Source organism: Homo sapiens, chromosome 3, assembly GCF_000001405.40.
Source record: "Homo sapiens chromosome 3, GRCh38.p14 Primary Assembly".
Lineage (NCBI taxonomy): Eukaryota > Metazoa > Chordata > Mammalia > Primates > Hominidae > Homo > Homo sapiens.
This window is the reverse complement of record NC_000003.12, coordinates 52,549,985-52,566,361: the sequence shown is the minus strand read 5'-3', so window position 1 is coordinate 52,566,361 and position 16,377 is coordinate 52,549,985. Positions and strand designations below refer to the sequence as shown.

Genomic DNA, 16,377 nt, shown 5'->3' with positions numbered 1-16,377 from the left:
CTGATTTCTTTTGGATATATACCTAGAAATAGAATTGCGAGGTCATATGGTAACTCAGTGTTTAACTTTTTGGAGAAACTGCCTAAATATTTTCCACAGCAGCTGCACCATTTTACAGTCCCACCAAGATACAAGGGTTCCATTTTCTTCACATCCTTACCACCACTTGTTATTTTCTGTTTTGGGTTTTTTTTTTAATACAGGCATCTTAATGGGGTGTGAAGTAGTATTACATTGCCGTTTTGATTTGATTTTCCTGATGATGAATGCTGTTAAGCATTGTGTTTTTTTTGTTTTGTTTTGTTTTGTTTTGAGACAGAGTCTCGCTCTTTCGCCCAGGCTGGAGTGCAGTGGCGCAATCTCGGCTCACTGCAAGCTCCGCCTCCTGGGTTCAGGCCATTCTCCTGCCTCAGCCTCATGACTAGCTGGGACTACAGGCGCCTGCAACCACACCCCGCTAATTTTTTGTACTGTTAGTAGAGACGGGGTTTCACCGTGTTAGCCAGGACGGTCTCGATCTCCTGACCTCATGATCCACCCGCCTCGGCCTCCCAAAGTGCTGGGATTACAGACATGAGCCACTGCGCCTGGCTAAGCATTGTTTCATGTGCCTATTGGACATTCGTATGTCTTTTTTTAGAGAAATGTCAATTTATATCTTTTGCACATTTTTTAATTGGGTTATATATTTGTCTTAATGTTGAGTTGTAGGAATATATATTCTGTATACTAGACTCTTACTAGATATATGATTTGCAAATATTTTCTTCTATGGCTTATCTTTTCACTTTCTTGATAGTATCCTTTGGAGCACAAAAGTTCTTAATTTTGATAAAGCCCCTTTTTTTTTTTTTGAGACTGAGTCTCGCTCTATTGCCCAGGCTGGAGTGCACTGGGGTGCTCTTGGCTCACTGCAGCCTCTGCCTTCCGGGTTCAAGCAATTCTTCTGCCTCAGCCTCCTGAGTAGCTGGGCTTACAGGAGCGCACCACCAAGCCCAGCTAATTTTTTTGTATTTTTAGTAGAGACGAGGTTTCACCATGTTGGCCAGGCTGGTCTCGAACTCCTGACCTCAGGTGATCCACCCTCCTCGGCCTCCCAAAGTGCTGGGATTACAGGCATGAGCCACTGCACCCAGCCCATTTTGAATTAATTTTTTTTTTTTGAGACGGAGTCTCGCTCTTTCGCTCAGGCTGGAGTGCAGTGGCGTCATCCTGGCTCTCTGCAACCTCCGCCTTCCAGGTTCAAGCAATTTTCCTGCCTCAGCTTCCTGAGTAGCTGGGAGTACAGGTGCACGCCACCACGCCCAGCTAATTTTTGTATTTTTAGTAGAGATGGGGTTTCATCATGTTGGCCAAGGACGGTCTCGATCTCTTGACCTCGTGTTTCTGCTGCCTCGGCCTCCCCAAAGTACTGGGATTACAGGCATGAGCCACTGCGCCTGGCCAAATTAATTTTTATATATGATAGGAGGTAGGAGTTCAACTGCATTCATGTGCAGAAGTGGAAATCCAGTTGTCCTGGTACCGTACCATCTGTTGAAAAGAGTGTTCTTTCCCCCAATGAATTGTCTTGGAACCCTTATCAAAAATCAATTATCCATAAAAGCCCTATTATATTGGTTTATTTCTACACTTTCAGTTCTATTCCATTGACCTATATATTCTATCCTTATGCCAATACATATTGTATTATATCTTTTTTTTTTTTTCTTGAGATAGGGTCTCACTCTGTCACCCAGGCTGGAGTGCAGTAGTGCAATCACAGCTCACTGTAGCCTCAGACTCAGACTTCCCAGACTCAGATGATTCCCACCTCAGCCTCCCGAGTAGCTGGGACCACAGGCATGCACCACAACATCCAGCTAATTTTTTGTATTTTTTTGTAGAATTTGGGGGTCTCACTATGTTGCCCAGGCTGGTCTCAAACTCCTGAGCTCAAGAGATCTGCCCACTTCAGCCTCTCAAAGTGCTGAGATTACAGGCTTGAGCCACCATGCCTAGCCCCTTTCATATCTTTAAAATTGTTAATTATATGAATGTATTCATCCAAAAATAATAAAATGTTAAAACAGTTAGTAACTATGACCACAGTTTACTCCTTTAATTTCTTTCTAATTTTCTCTTTCAGGAAAGTGTGCTGTGTTGTCATTCAAGGACTTCCTCTCCTGCAGGCCAACTGAAATACCAGAAAATGACATTCTGCTTTGTGAGAGCCGCTACAATGAGAGCGACAAGCAGATGAAGAAATTCAAAGGATTGAAGAGGTTTTCACTCTCTGCTAAAGTGGTAGATGATGAAATTTACTACTTCAGGTAAAGCTTGAAAAACTTAAGGAAAAAAGAGCACTTCCATTAACTGATAGCAACATAGTGTAGTCCAGTGTTTTTAATTTTTTATTAGATCTTAAACTAGAGTAGTAAATATTTCAAATAGAAAATATTTATTCACTTAAAGATTAAAGGAAAGACTTCATAATCTGCTGGGACCTGGTGGCTGCTCTAATAGTGCCCTTGGCGTAGACTCCAATAATTGTGGAATGAGGCAGAAACACTTGGTTCTGGTTTATATCCTGTCAGGAGATTTCTCAGTTCCACAGATTATGAAAACTCTTTTTGCTGTGTATAGGCAACTAGATCCCAACTTTGGACACAATACTTTTGTGGATATTCAGCATAATTATTTAAAAACAAGCATCTCTAAGTACAAGTAATTTCATAAATACACATTTAAACTCTTTCCATGCTGCCTTTAGAGCATATATTGCAGATTGCAGGAAGTCACTTCTAGTTGTTAAGGTGGAACACTGCTTTCCGGCTTATTCTGGAGGGGCATTAGGTGATTTTAGGTTTTTTATGTCACTTTTTTCAGAAAACCAATTGTTCCTCAGAAGGAGCCATCACCTTTGCTGGAAAAGAAGATCCAGTTGCTAGAAGCTAAATTTGCCGAGTTAGAAGGTGGAGATGATGATATTGAAGAGATGGGAGAAGAAGATAGTGAGGTCATTGAACCTCCTTCTCTACCTCAGCTTCAGACCCCCCTGGCCAGTGAGCTGGACCTCATGCCCTACACACCCCCACAGGTGAAGGTGACAGGTTCCTGTTACTTATCTTATTACCACCTTTGGTTTGCAGCAGACTCAAAACCAAAGTAAAGTGACATCCAGCCCCTCCATATGTGAGCTTTAACTTAGAATTCTGCAGGAAGGAACAGATTTTGTCAGTGCCATGATTTATTCATTTATTTTTGATTGACAAAAATTATATGTCATCCCATTAATAATTTATATTAATACCATTAATAATTTAAAATTAATATCTTTAAAATTTCATAGCTATTTTAATGGTGGGCTTAGTTAGAAGACTCTTCCTTGTGCTGAAGAAAAGCAGTAAGGAGCAACATCACCCTGTTTGTCTTTAGCTTTTATTACCCGTGTCTTTTTAATCTCTCCTTATGTAGGACCTCATCTTTTGGTTGAGGTGATTGTTGGTATTTTTTTCTCATTCAGAATTTTTACAAGACTTGGCCAGGCATGGTTGCTTATGTCTGTAATCCCAGCACTTTGGGAGGCCAAGGCAGGAGGATCACTTGAGCTCAGGAGTTCAAGACCACATTGGGCAACATAGTGAGATCTCATCTCTACTAAAAATTTTAAAAATTAGGCATGGTGATGCACACCTGTAGTCCCAGCTACTCGGCAGGCTGAGGCAGGAGAATCATTTGAGACTGGGAGATCAAGGCTGCAGTGAGATATGAGTGCACCACTGTACTCCAGCCTGGTGACAGAACAAGACCCTGTATCATTTAAAAAAAAAAAAAAAAAAAAAGAATTTTCTCAAGACTTAATTGTGAGGTCACCATTACAGATTGCACCCATGGAATTCAGTGAAACTTTCATTTCTTTTTTACTTGTAATAGATAAGGAAGAGGTGTGTTTTGACCAAGAAAATAGCCAGCTATAAACCAAACGTGTCAATAAAGCAGTAACTAGTGAATCACGTGTTCCTGGCTTCTGAAAAATTTTTTTTTTTTTTTTTTGAGACAGAGTCTTGCTCTGTCGCCCAGGCTGGAGTGCAGTGGCGCCGTCTTGGCTTAATGCAAGCTCCGTCTCCCGGGTTCACGCCATTCTCCTGCCTCAGCCTCCTGAGTAGCTGGGACTACAGGCGCCCGCCACCACGCCTGGCTAATTTTTTGTATTTTTTTTTTTAGTAGAAACGGGGTTTCACTGTGTCAGCCAGGATGGTCTCAATCTCCTGACCTTGTGATCCACCTGTCTCGGCCCCCCAAAGTGCTGGGATTACAGGTGTGAGCCACCGCGCCCGGCTGGCTTCTGAAATTTTGAGCAGTTAACCAAATGTAATGTTTTGATGCACCATAAGACCTTTCTGTCTTACAGTCTACCCCAAAGTCTGCCAAAGGCAGTGCAAAGAAGGAAGGCTCCAAACGGAAAATCAACATGAGTGGCTACATCCTGTTCAGCAGTGAGATGAGGGCTGTGATTAAGGCCCAACACCCAGACTACTCTTTCGGGGAGCTCAGCCGCCTGGTGGGGACAGAATGGAGAAATCTTGAGACAGCCAAGAAAGCAGAATATGAAGGTAAATAGAGCCTAGGCACAACTGTCTTTCGAAGCAAGGGGGTGTTTCAGGAATGCACGCGCACAGACAGGTTTTACTCTTGTTCTTACCACTTGCACATGAACTTTTATTTTGGGGACTGTTCCAAATGGCACCCAACCAGTATTTTAGATGCTAGCCTTGTCCTGACTGAGCAGAGCACTGCCCCTGACTTGGCCTCTGATCCTGGTGTTGTATTTTCCCCTGCAAATTTCTCCAAAATATTTTGCTACTAAAAATTGCATGATTTTTTTCTTTCATTGAGCCCTGTAAGCACACATGTTGAGCTAGGGAATTATTGTACAATGATGTTAAATATAATTTTAATTAAAATTCGTCTGAAAAGGGCCTCTTAAAATCAGTGATCTTGTGTTACAGCTCTTGGTAAGCCATATATTTAAACTTCAGGCTGAGTCTTTGCTAAAGTGCTTGGTTTCCTAGGTCAGTCCTGGCCTATACTGTGTCTGTATTCATAGCTACTTCTAAGGTATTTGGGTCTTTTTTATAAAGCTCAACTGCCTTTATTTTCCTTTTATTCTAATTAAATCACTTTGGGCAGTGAGCTGTCATTCAAGAATTTGGTGGTTCTTAGCCATTTAGAGACAAATACTTGAGATTTTTTGTTTTTTGTTGTTGGGTTTTTGTTTTTGTGGGTTTTTTTTAAATATCAGACATGGACTTAGTAAAGAAATTAGTAGTAAGCATTAGATTAGGCAGTACTGTTGCCCTTTGAGCTATATTTTTTCCATCTGGAATTTTATATATTGGTTCATTTTGCCAGTTTAGAGCTCCTCTCTACAATGGTCAACCACTACTCTTCTTAGGTGGGTACAGTTCTATTATTTTCTGGCAAACATTAATTATTTAGGCTGCCCCTTTTATTAAAATTTTTGAAGTCTCCAAAGAAACTTCTTTAAAAAAAAAAAGGTCATTTATTATAATTATTTGATTACTATGAAATTATCTGACAGGCTTCCCCAAGGATCTTCTGCAAAGAATCCTAATCCTGCAAGATGTTTAGCCAAAAAACATTTTGTGGCAAAACCAGTTTGAGAAGCATTCCAAACTCTCTCTCTTGGAAACTTATGGTGCATATTCCCGTATGTGTGTTGTCAGGCCCAAGGGCCTCCTCTGTCCTTATCAAGGGGAGTGCTAACCTTTTCTCCTTTCATACAGCATGCATATTCCCATATTAAAGGCTTTAAGACCACCAGTAAATAAGCTGTTTTATATTATCTGGCATTTTCTGAAATTTGACCAGGTATTTATGTAGTACCTATGAATACCCTAAAGAACTAACATTTTGCAGAATATTCTTTGGAAAACCCTAGTCAGTTCCATAAGAACCTAGAACTTTGTGGAGCTTTGATATTTCTGACCTTATTGAAAGTTAAGACCTACTACACCACTGAGCTGGAGGAGTGTTGAAAATCAAGCTCACATGAATATTGCTGAGCGAGCAGCACAGCAGCAGCAGCAAGGCAAATGGAGCCAGTGCTGGATGGCTGGTTATTTAGAGTGTGAGCAGGAGAGAGATACCTGAAGACACTGTGAAGGTAAAAACACTGGAGTAGGAATGAAGAGAGGGAGAGGTGATGGCGTCTGGAACATCCTTCCAAATTCAAAGGGGAGTCTGAAAGTGAGTGAGAACCTAGTGAGGGGGGAGTTATATGACTCAGCAGCATCTACCTGAGACATAAAATCTGAACTTTTGATGTTTTCTCTCATTGAATTCAAAGCCCAAAGTTTAGAGTTTGGGTAGCCAGTCCAATATTCAATCCACAGGCCTTATTTTTTTTTTTCCATTTCATTTTTTTGCTTTCCCACTTTACTGTGTCACTTGTATAATGAAAATACTAGAATTTGAAGTGGAACCCTAGGTCGATTTTTTTTTTTTTTTTTACTGCTAGCTCAAGTAAATAGTTTGTTCAAATGGCCTTCGTTTCTCATACTCATTGTACAAAGGGTCTGTAAACTAGGACAGTCTTAGTGATGATAAGGCTATGCAGGCAACTCTGTCACAGCCAAGAGGCCTTTGATTGCTTGACTTTCATATTCTTAAAGGAGGACTGGAGCTGTAGCTTCTTGATTCTCTGTAAAGCCATATGACCTCGAGCTATTTTCCCCCTCCTGAAATCAGTGGTGTTGAGTTCCATGTTAAAGGGTTTATGTGTGGCAGTTGGAGTGTGATATCAGGAGTTAGGGCCATAGGGTTGCTGGTTCTCTCTATCCTTGGACAAGTGACTGCCTGTCTCCCAGCCTCCATTTGCCTATGTGATGAGTGGGGGGATCTTCTATTTATGAATGGTGAGACAAGAAACCCTGTATGGTGGGAGCTTTGGAAATACAGCATTTCAGGAGTTCTTCAGTAGGGGTTCAGTCTGCTAGCTCACAAAAAGACTGGAAACATGATCATTGGAGCTCCCGGCTCTGGAGATGCAGAGTAGCTCAGGGCCGGGGAGTGGGGAGGTAGCAGGATGTATTCTACGGCCCAGAACTGCCACAGCAAATGCTCTTTTTGCATTTTGAATGAAGTAAGAGGGATTCTGGAATTTTCATTGATTTAGGGTGGTTTATGGTCAGTATTGAACTGCTCAGCTTCAGGAAACCTGGTTCTTTCAGTACATTGTCCATTGCTACATACGTGTTTATTTAATTCTCTGCTTCTGATGATTGTAGCCTGAAGTATAATGCATTTTTTTCCTTTGGGGTTTATTAAACATGACTTCTTTGCTTCATTAGAATGTAGAAATTAGTTGTTTCCCTAAAACCTTCTGAAGGAGGCAGTCAGCTACTTTTCCCTTACAGAGTTAATTTTCTTCAGCTGCTAAACTCCATGACACTCGTGATGAGTCCTCAAATCTTAGTAAAATTGGGTACAAAGAATCAGGAAATATATATAGTAAGTAACAATTGTACCAAAAATTATAATGGGCCATGGAATTGCTTCATATTGAAATTATAAATAATCTGTAATGCTATTAATACTAGAATAATGGTAGCGCTTCTCATCTTCAGGGTGCCTCGTGAGATTAACCATGGTGGTTATGCTGGTGACGTGTTTACATAAAACCTGTGCTTTCTGAATGTGTGTTGCAGTCTTAACATTCTTGAAATCTTTGCAGACCAGTTCTCAAGATGGGATAGGAAAGCTGGACTCTAGGTTACCAAGTGAAATCGGCCCGACTCCTCCTGTGTTGAGACTAGTCATCTACTGTTCCTTCCATTGAGACAGAACTGTTGCCTGTGTTTTTACTAGTCCTGTTGAATGCAATGGATGGTATTTTGAATTCCTGGGTTAAAAACAGAATTGAAAATCTGAAATGCCTTTACAGAGCGGGCAGCTAAAGTTGCTGAGCAGCAGGAGAGAGAGCGAGCAGCACAGCAACAGCAGCCGAGTGCTTCTCCCCGAGCAGGCACCCCTGTGGGGGCTCTCATGGGGGTGGTGCCACCACCAACACCAATGGGGATGCTCAATCAGCAGTTGACACCTGTTGCAGGTAAAAACAGGAGCTAAGACCATTTTTTTCCACTTTAAGAAATTCCTTCATTTTTTTTTTCTCCAATAAGGAGTAGGCCACAGTCTATTGCCTTTTCTCATGACAGATTCAAAGTTTGAAGTCATCCATGTTGTCCTATATTGCCTTTCCCATATGGGCAATGCCTCCCTTCTGCCCCAGAAATGGGCCCTGGGCCCAACCCTGGTAATTGGTAGGGAGCAGCTCTTCCCTGGCTGTGGGCATGGTCTGGTGATGTTCTCCACCCCAGCCTGCTCTTGATAGAGCACTATAGCAGAAAATATGAAAGTAGACCCTGAATTCTGTTCTAGAGGGACTCCCAAGAGAAAACACAAAACTAGTCTTTAGGTGGTGTTGATTTTCCCATCTCATTCCAGTATTCAGTTTGCCTTGTTCTGCTGCAGCCATCCTTAAAAGACTGACCGTTTAAAAGGATTTTTTGACAATGAATTGTAAATCCTTTCTTGGTCACCAATGTGCATGACTGCTAAATAGAATACAAAGTCCTTATTCAATTCATTGTGCCCACTCTGTAATGCTTTTCTATTTAATTACATTAAACTGCATTTTCTGTTAGTATCCCAGTCACATATTTAAGAAAAAAAAAAAGAAAAAGAAAATGATGAATGTGGTTTGTCTGTGTGTGTTGTCTCTGGTTCTGGTAGCCATAGCAAATTTGACTGTTCTTGAATTGAATATCTTTGTCTGACATGTCTCCAATGAGAAGTCTGCAGACCACTTCTCGGGCCCCTTCTTTGAGATCTCTCCAGTCCTGGTGAGGTCTGTACAAGCCACCTGTGTTTCTTCTTAAGCAAGCAGTCTGACCTCTTTCACAGGGAGTCCAAAATAGTGTTGTTCAAGGCAGGCTTGTTGGGATGCTGTTTTTGCTGTTTCGTTTTTGCTTTTTAAGGAAGAGTAGCATAGGATAACTTTTCCATTGTCGCTCCTAACTTTTGTGATGGCAAGTTCTCAAATGCACTGTCGCTGAACTCAGCAGTTGCACTCGCCAAAGCACATCTGAATCATGGCTTTCAGTGCTTTCAGTGTAACTGATGTTGATCTAACAAATCTCATAATCGCCTGCTCTATTCCATGGCCCATTTTGGTTAATGGGGTTCCAGAGGTTTTTAGAAATCAGGCCTTGAACATGGGGACTTTGAAAGTTAGAATTCCCTCGTTGACATTGTGTTTTGTTCTATTTGATGTGTGACGTTGTGGCACTGTGCCCTTGACTTCAAAACCCAGGGGCACATTAACAAAATGAATACAAACAGCTAAAAACAATTAAAAAAAAAAAAAAAACAGCAGCTGCAGCATTTTAGCTCCCTGTTGGGGAAGAACATTATAGAACTCTATGGATGAGGAAGGTGGTCCCTCTAGAAAGCCCCTGCTCCATTATTTAGGGTGTGCTGGCTAGACTTCTGGGCCCTGGGAGTGAAAAGCAAGCATTCTCTGCAGTAACCACTCTTTGGTCCTCATGGGGAACCCTGCAGCTAAGAGGGTGATTTTTCATGGTTTTACAGGTTTCTTAGGGCCTGAGTCTTACTTATTAGCCTTGTTGCTGTCTTGAGACCAGCTTTGCTTACAAGCATTGAAGCTCATTTGAACACATGTGACTGGGATAATAAATGCCAAAGTACAGTTTAATGAAGACAAGTGTCATGTCTTTCAGTTCTTAATAATTTCCTCAACCACAGCCCATGAAGGCTGCGTTCAGATGGGCTTTTGTAATTGAAAGCAAAGCCTCTTAACATCCTTAAATTTCCCGCCTACTTAACCCTAAATGCTATAACTGGTGGTGTGGTTAAAAGATTGGTAGCATTGGATCTCTTCATGTTTAATTAAGATGATGGTGTCTGTTCAAAAGTAGTTTTTACTTTCTGAACTCTTCATTTAAAAAAAAATGAAAACTCATAATCTTATGTATAGAGAGATTATTATTCAAATTTTTGTCATTCGGTTTATGTAATTGTAAGTTAGTCAGCTTAGGTATGACTAGTGAAGCAGGGTGAATCGACCTCAGAATTTTTAGTAATTTCATAGCCTTAAAAGACTAAACTTTTATAAATAAATATGTTTGAAATCTTCAGGGAAAGTCCAAGAGTAAAATTCTCAGAATCTGAAGTTTTCCACTATTTGACAGAGTCCCTCTGCAAAGAGTATTTTATAAAAATGAGGTTTGGCACCAGTCCCTCAACCCTCCCTTTGCAAGAAGCTGTGACCAAAGGTGACTGCATTTTGGGGGGAGCTTTGTGTTCTTATTCATCATGATCATTACAAATCCCAGAAAAGTCAAGTTGTTTTTCTTGTTTTAAAAAAATGCCATGTGGTTTTAAAGGTCTTTTGATAGGTGAGTCCTTGACATTTTGAATTTTTTTTCTTACATTTATTCCTTCTGCCAAAAATACTTGTTTGCTGAAACTCTTCTCTAGCCAGTAGAAAATATTTTGTCATGTGTAGGTACACTTTGAAAATAAAGGAATAAAAGCCTCTGTTCACAGAAATTGTGTACCTCAAATTAAAATGCTCCCTGTTAAGGTTTATATGAGGACATTTGAGCTTGGAGACTGATGGCATTTGGCATTTTCTCATATCAGCAGAGCCCAATTCTCCAGCCATTCCTCCGTAAAGTCTGTGTGTAGGCTCCTGAGTGACCTGGACTTGGTTGGCTTGGTTGGGAGTGTTTAGGTTTTATCTTTATCACATTTTTAGATCTAAAGAAGGAAATATCATTCACTGTGATGGTTCTTAGAAGCTGTTCCCCAACTCAAGCCCAAGCACAATCCATTCTTACCAGCAGTGGTAAGGCTAGAAAGGAGGAGTAGATGTAGAAGTCTTGAACAATTCCTGCCCCAAAGCTGGAGAACCATGCTTTGTGATCAGGACTATGCGCTCATTTCCCTCCCTTCCTATTTCCCCTCATGTGTACCCATGATAGGCATATGAGTGTGGGCAGAGTGGAATGATGGGGTTTATACTATTCAGTTAGAATTGCAGTCAGCAGAACTGGTCACTCTGTTTGAACAGCTTGCAATAATTATTTCCTTGGGAAGGCTGTTACTAGAACTCTTTACTATTATTTAACTGAAAACATGCAGCATATTTACCCCAGGGAAAATAACTACAAATAATAGTGTACTAAGTACTAATTCATCCCAAAATGTTGGGTCTCATATTTGTAACTTTTTATTTTGTTCATTATTGCAGCAAAATAATTGCACTAATTGCTGTTATATCATGCAGTACTAAGGGTGCTTTATTCATTGGTAGTGCATGTGGGGGTTGGTTGTTATTACTTAGCTCATGTTGCATGTTAATGATGCATGTCTGAAATTTGTTGTGTCCTTCAAGGCATGATGGGTGGCTATCCGCCAGGCCTTCCACCTTTGCAGGGCCCAGTTGATGGCCTTGTTAGCATGGGCAGCATGCAGCCACTTCACCCTGGGGGGCCTCCACCCCACCATCTTCCGCCAGGTGTGCCTGGCCTCCCGGGCATCCCACCACCGGGTAAGAACTTCATCCTCATTCACTCATTAATCTCATCTTCATATTCTCTTTTTCCGCTTTCAACCAGTTGTTCCAGGAGGCACCCGTGGCCCATTGTGGCCAGGCCTTCCCTCCCTGAGAATCCAAAGGTTGTCAGCAGCAGGGCATGTCTTGTGCATTCAGCAGGTGGCCCAGCACTTGTGCCCTTGTGCACCTGGCTGCTGGCAGCAGCACAGCACACATGGCAGAGGCCAGACTCAGCAAACCAAGGGACAAGAGGCATACTCTATCGATAATCACTCAACTAATTTGACATGTCCTTGAAAAGCCAGACAGCCTAGAAGGCTGTGTCCTCTTATCAGTGAATGAAGTTTCCCAAATTGCTAGTTCAGAGTAACATGTAAAAGCATTTTTTGCCCCTGAGTTGCATTTCTCCCTCTGGTGCAATTCTTATCTCACAGGGTATAGAGTATCTGTTCCATCTCCTACTTCTCCTCAAGCAGCCTTTCTAAGGGGATTGCAGAGCTGCTAAGGTAGAACTCTTCAGAAATCTTTCACTCAGTCTGTCTTAGAACAAAAAGCAGGGAGGGAATGCATTTTCACTGAATTAGTGTTCTGTATGTGAGTTCCCTAAGAAGCATGACATGCCAGGTGTAATGGCTCATGCCTGTAATCCCAGCACTTTCAGAGAATGAGGAAGGTGGATCACTTGAGCCCAGGAGTTCAAGACCAGCCTGGGCAACCTGGTGAGACCCCATCTCTATAAAAATTAGCCAGGTGTTAGGCCGGGCACGATGGCTCATGCCTGTAATCCCAGCACTTTGGGAGGCCGAGGTGGGCGGATCACTTGAGGTCAGGAGTTCGAGACCAGCCTGGCCAATATGGTGAAACACCGTCTTTACTAAAAATACAAAAATTAGCTGGGCGTGGTGGCGGGCACCTGTAGTCCCAGCTACTCGAGAGGCTGAGGCAGAAGAATCACTTGAACCTGGGAGGCAGAGGTTGCAGTGAGCCGAGATTGCACCACTACACTCCAGCCTGGGCGACAGCAAGACTCCGTGTCAAAAAAAAAAAAAAAAAAGGAAAAATTAGCCAGGTGTGGTGGCATGTGCCTGTAGTCCCAGCTACTCAGGAGGCTGAGGTGGGAGAATTACCTGAGCCTGGGGAGACTGAGGCTGCAGTGAGTGGTGATCGCACCACTGCACTCCAGCCTGAGCGACAGAATGAGATCCTGTCTCAAAAAAAAAAAAAAAAAAGCCTGACATTAAAGAACAGCCTAGCCTACCCTCCTAGCTGTAGATACTGGTTTGTCTGTCAACAGAAGCTTAGAAGTTCTTTTATATAGAAATATATAAATGGATTCCAGAAATAGCGACATTCATTTTCACTTTAAAATGTGAATTAGCAAGTTGAAAGATTATTTTAAAGAAAACCTAAATGAAAGGAAAATCACATGTTCCCATATTAATTGCCATCATATGCAAAAGAACTCTTAGCTGTAATCTGGATGGAGGGAATGTGACCTTTGGAAGACTCGGAAAGCATTTGGTCCATTACCTACAACATCAGCTAAGGGCCCAACCCAAATGGTAAAATGTGGTTGGAAACTTGTTAAATTTGCTTGTACCAGTGTTGGACCTACCAGTGATAGGGTTTTGCAGGGTACCAAATGATGCTTTGGAGGGTGCACCCAGCAGTGTGCAGAGTGAGCAAACTTGGTGGCCTGGCCTGGAGCCTCCAGCCACACTCTTTGTGAGAGTTGCTTAGAATATGGCCATAATTCCACAGAAGCATTTGCTCCAGGTATTGCCAGAGGAGGAAGTGTTTGTAGGGTTAGGTGCTTCATATGAAAACAGTGGACTGTGTGAATTGCTGTTGCAGCAGGAGTCAGTCATAAGGTAAATGTTCCCATGTGGCAGGTAGACTTGGCCTTAATTTTTTGCCCTCTCACCTTGATACAGGGTATCACTGAGCCAATAAGACCAGGCTGGAGTTTACACCTTCTAGGTGCACTTAGTGGGATCCATGTCTAATGCCAGTACCCTCTAGGTTGCAGATGTCTTTTGGTGGGTGTTGGGACATAGCTGTCTTCCTTTCCACCTTCCTGAAATCCTAAATTCAACTGGAGGGAAGCCCAACACACCTGCTTAGAATTGAGGAGACAGGGCCGGACACAGTGACTCAATCCTGTAATCCCAGCACTTTGTGAGGCTGAGGTGGGAGGATTGCTTTGAGCTCAGCAGTTCAAGACCAGTGGGCAACATGGTGAAACCCCATATCTATTTTATTTAATTAAAAAAGAAGCCAGGAGTCAGGGAAGACCCCCTCTTAGTGCCTACAAATGCACATGTCTGAGCAGGCTTAGAGGAGTAGGGGATTCATTGAGCTCTTTTGGTGACTCAGCTCAGATTCTCACCGGCTGCCCAAGTATGGCATTTGTCAATAGAGGAAGCAGAAGAGTTTGCTGATTTGTGCTGCCCTGCAAAGCAATGATTTACACAGTTTAGGGAGCCACACCGTGTTCTGGAATCTAAGGTGGGTGAGTGTCCCAGGGCACAGGGAGGTGATGGGCACAGAGGTTAATAATATATTGCTGGGGCACCAGCTTACCCACCACAACCTCTTCATTCATTCACGAATAATCATCAGGATCCTACTTTGGTGATCCGGGTGGACTTCTGGGTACTTGGAATATAAAACTCCCTGCTTTTTAAACAGAAGCTTTTTTACTTGTTATTTTCTAACAAATAAGAGGCTCTCTTATGCTTCCTGGAAGTGGCATTTAACAATTCTGAACCTTAGTGCTCGCTTCAGCAGCACATACACTAAAATTGGAACAATATGGAGTTGAGCATGGCACAAGGATGACATGCAAATTCATGAAACAGTTCTGAACTTTAGAATGAGGAGCTGCTTCTGCCTGGACAAAATATTACGATTTTTAATCCGAAGGGACTATACACTATGAAGTTATACCTCCTCTCGATTCTTCTACACAGCCAGCAGGATTTGTTTAAGTTTTCAAGAACAGTTCACCACAGTTTTAGGTTTATTTGATTTTAATGAACTGGGTCCCTTGCCTATTTCTGTATTTTATCAGAATAGCAAATATGCACCCTGAAATCAAAAGAGCCTCTGACACTAAATTTAGGACATCTCATTATTATCAGCTGTGCCTGTGAGACAACAATTGCTCGTGAGCATTCACTGAGGGAAGCTTACAAAATTATTATCAGGGACATAGTACAAATCTAGTAGGGCCATGAAGTCTCTCTGTTCCTTTGTCATTTTGCATATAAAGCAATAGCAACAAGGTTACTTCACTTCAGATGATTCCTTTTCAGAGTGCTACTCTATCAGATGGAAGTGTTCTCTCCCTGCCAGCACTAGTGACTCCAGTTAGAACCAGCTGCTGATGGTCTGGGAGGGGATAGCAAGGCTGTGCCTTCAGCCTTCACAAAGCTCATTTAACTATGCACTTCCACAGCCTCTTCCCTTGTGTCCCTGCTGTCCTAGCACATTGCTTACTGCTGAGCCTGATTCCAGTGCCATTCCTGCTTAAATTAAATACAGGCTTCAGTTGCAGGAGAATGTGTTGTCAGAAGAAAAACACCTTGAATGTAGAGGTATATTCTGACAATAGCTTACCTAGAGAAATACTAGAATTTTATGCAAGGTTCAAATCATTTCTAAGCCATAATTGATGTACATCTGACAGATTGTTCTAGTATTATACTTTAAGTACCTAGAAACAAAACAACTTTCTATTCAAATCCTATTGGGGTGCTTAAGATTCCTAGCCACAAAGATTCAAGGGCAGAGGTACATAGGTTTGAATTATGAATGGCATCATTTCTTATCAGACAGTAGTTTTTCAGTCATTTCAACCCAGAGCCTCTAACTGTGCCATTGCATTCTGAATTATAGGTGTGATGAACCAAGGAGTGGCCCCTATGGTAGGGACTCCAGCACCAGGTGGAAGTCCATATGGACAACAGGTGAGCCTCCCAGTTTGATTTTCTAGGACTTGACAGAATTCGAGTTATCCTTCTCAGAACATGTGCAGAGTCTCTTTTTGCCTCACCATGTGGTCCTGTGCTCTTTCAGGTGGGAGTTTTGGGGCCTCCAGGGCAGCAGGCACCACCTCCATATCCCGGCCCACATCCAGCTGGACCCCCTGTCATACAGCAGCCAACAACACCCATGTTTGTAGCTCCCCCACCAAAGACCCAGCGGCTTCTTCACTCAGAGGCCTACCTGAAATACATTGAAGGACTCAGTGCGGAGTCCAACAGCATTAGCAAGTGGGATCAGACACTGGCAGGTAAGATTCCTTCTAAATAAGCCTTTGTGAAATACATGCTTCCTCAAAGCTGTCTTACTGCTGTTAGCATAGTATATCATACAATAAACACCCCTTTTTCTTATACAATTAAAATAAATTATATATTTCATAAATGGTTTGGAGTTTCTTTGCATGTTTACGTAACACACTGAAAATGGTTTGTTTTGTTTTGTTTTGTTTTTGAGACAGGGTCTCACTCTGTTGCCTAGGCTGGAGTGCAGTGGCGCGATCTTGGCTCACTGCAGTCTCCGCCTTCCAGGTTCAACTGATTCTTCTGCCTCAGCCTCCCCAGTAGCTGGGATTACAGGCACATGCCACCACACCTGGCTAATGTTTATATTTTTAGTAGAGATGGGGTTTCACCATATCAGCCAGGCTGGTCTCAAACTCTTGACCTCAAGTGATCCACCTGCCT

General features: G+C 42.2%; 1 protein-coding gene and 2 pseudogenes across 159 annotated transcripts in view; 2 read left to right on the top strand and 1 right to left on the bottom strand.

The window, feature by feature from the left end:
- The window catches only part of PBRM1 (polybromo 1), a 140,547-nt gene that overhangs the window by 119,552 nt on the left and 4,618 nt on the right, over positions 1-16,377 (top strand). For 51 of the 159 annotated variants that reach the window (NM_001405581.1, NM_001394868.1, NM_001405601.1 and 48 more), the window contains 7 exons: positions 2,129-2,312; positions 2,869-3,079; positions 4,394-4,595; positions 7,949-8,113; positions 11,483-11,638; positions 15,545-15,615; positions 15,725-15,941. In NM_001405581.1, the coding sequence (NP_001392510.1) occupies positions 2,129-2,312; positions 2,869-3,079; positions 4,394-4,595; positions 7,949-8,113; positions 11,483-11,638; positions 15,545-15,615; positions 15,725-15,941 (1,206 nt within the window). Of the gene's footprint in view, positions 1-2,128; positions 2,313-2,868; positions 3,086-4,393; positions 4,972-7,948; positions 8,711-11,482; positions 11,639-14,020; positions 14,153-15,544; positions 15,616-15,724; positions 16,072-16,377 lie in introns of those variants that run through there. The other 108 variants (NM_001405585.1, NM_001405556.1, NM_001394874.1 and 105 more) reach the window with 11 other exon arrangements.
- RNU6ATAC16P (RNA, U6atac small nuclear 16, pseudogene) lies at positions 5,655-5,792 on the bottom strand (annotated as a pseudogene).
- RNU6-856P (RNA, U6 small nuclear 856, pseudogene) lies at positions 14,419-14,516 on the top strand (annotated as a pseudogene).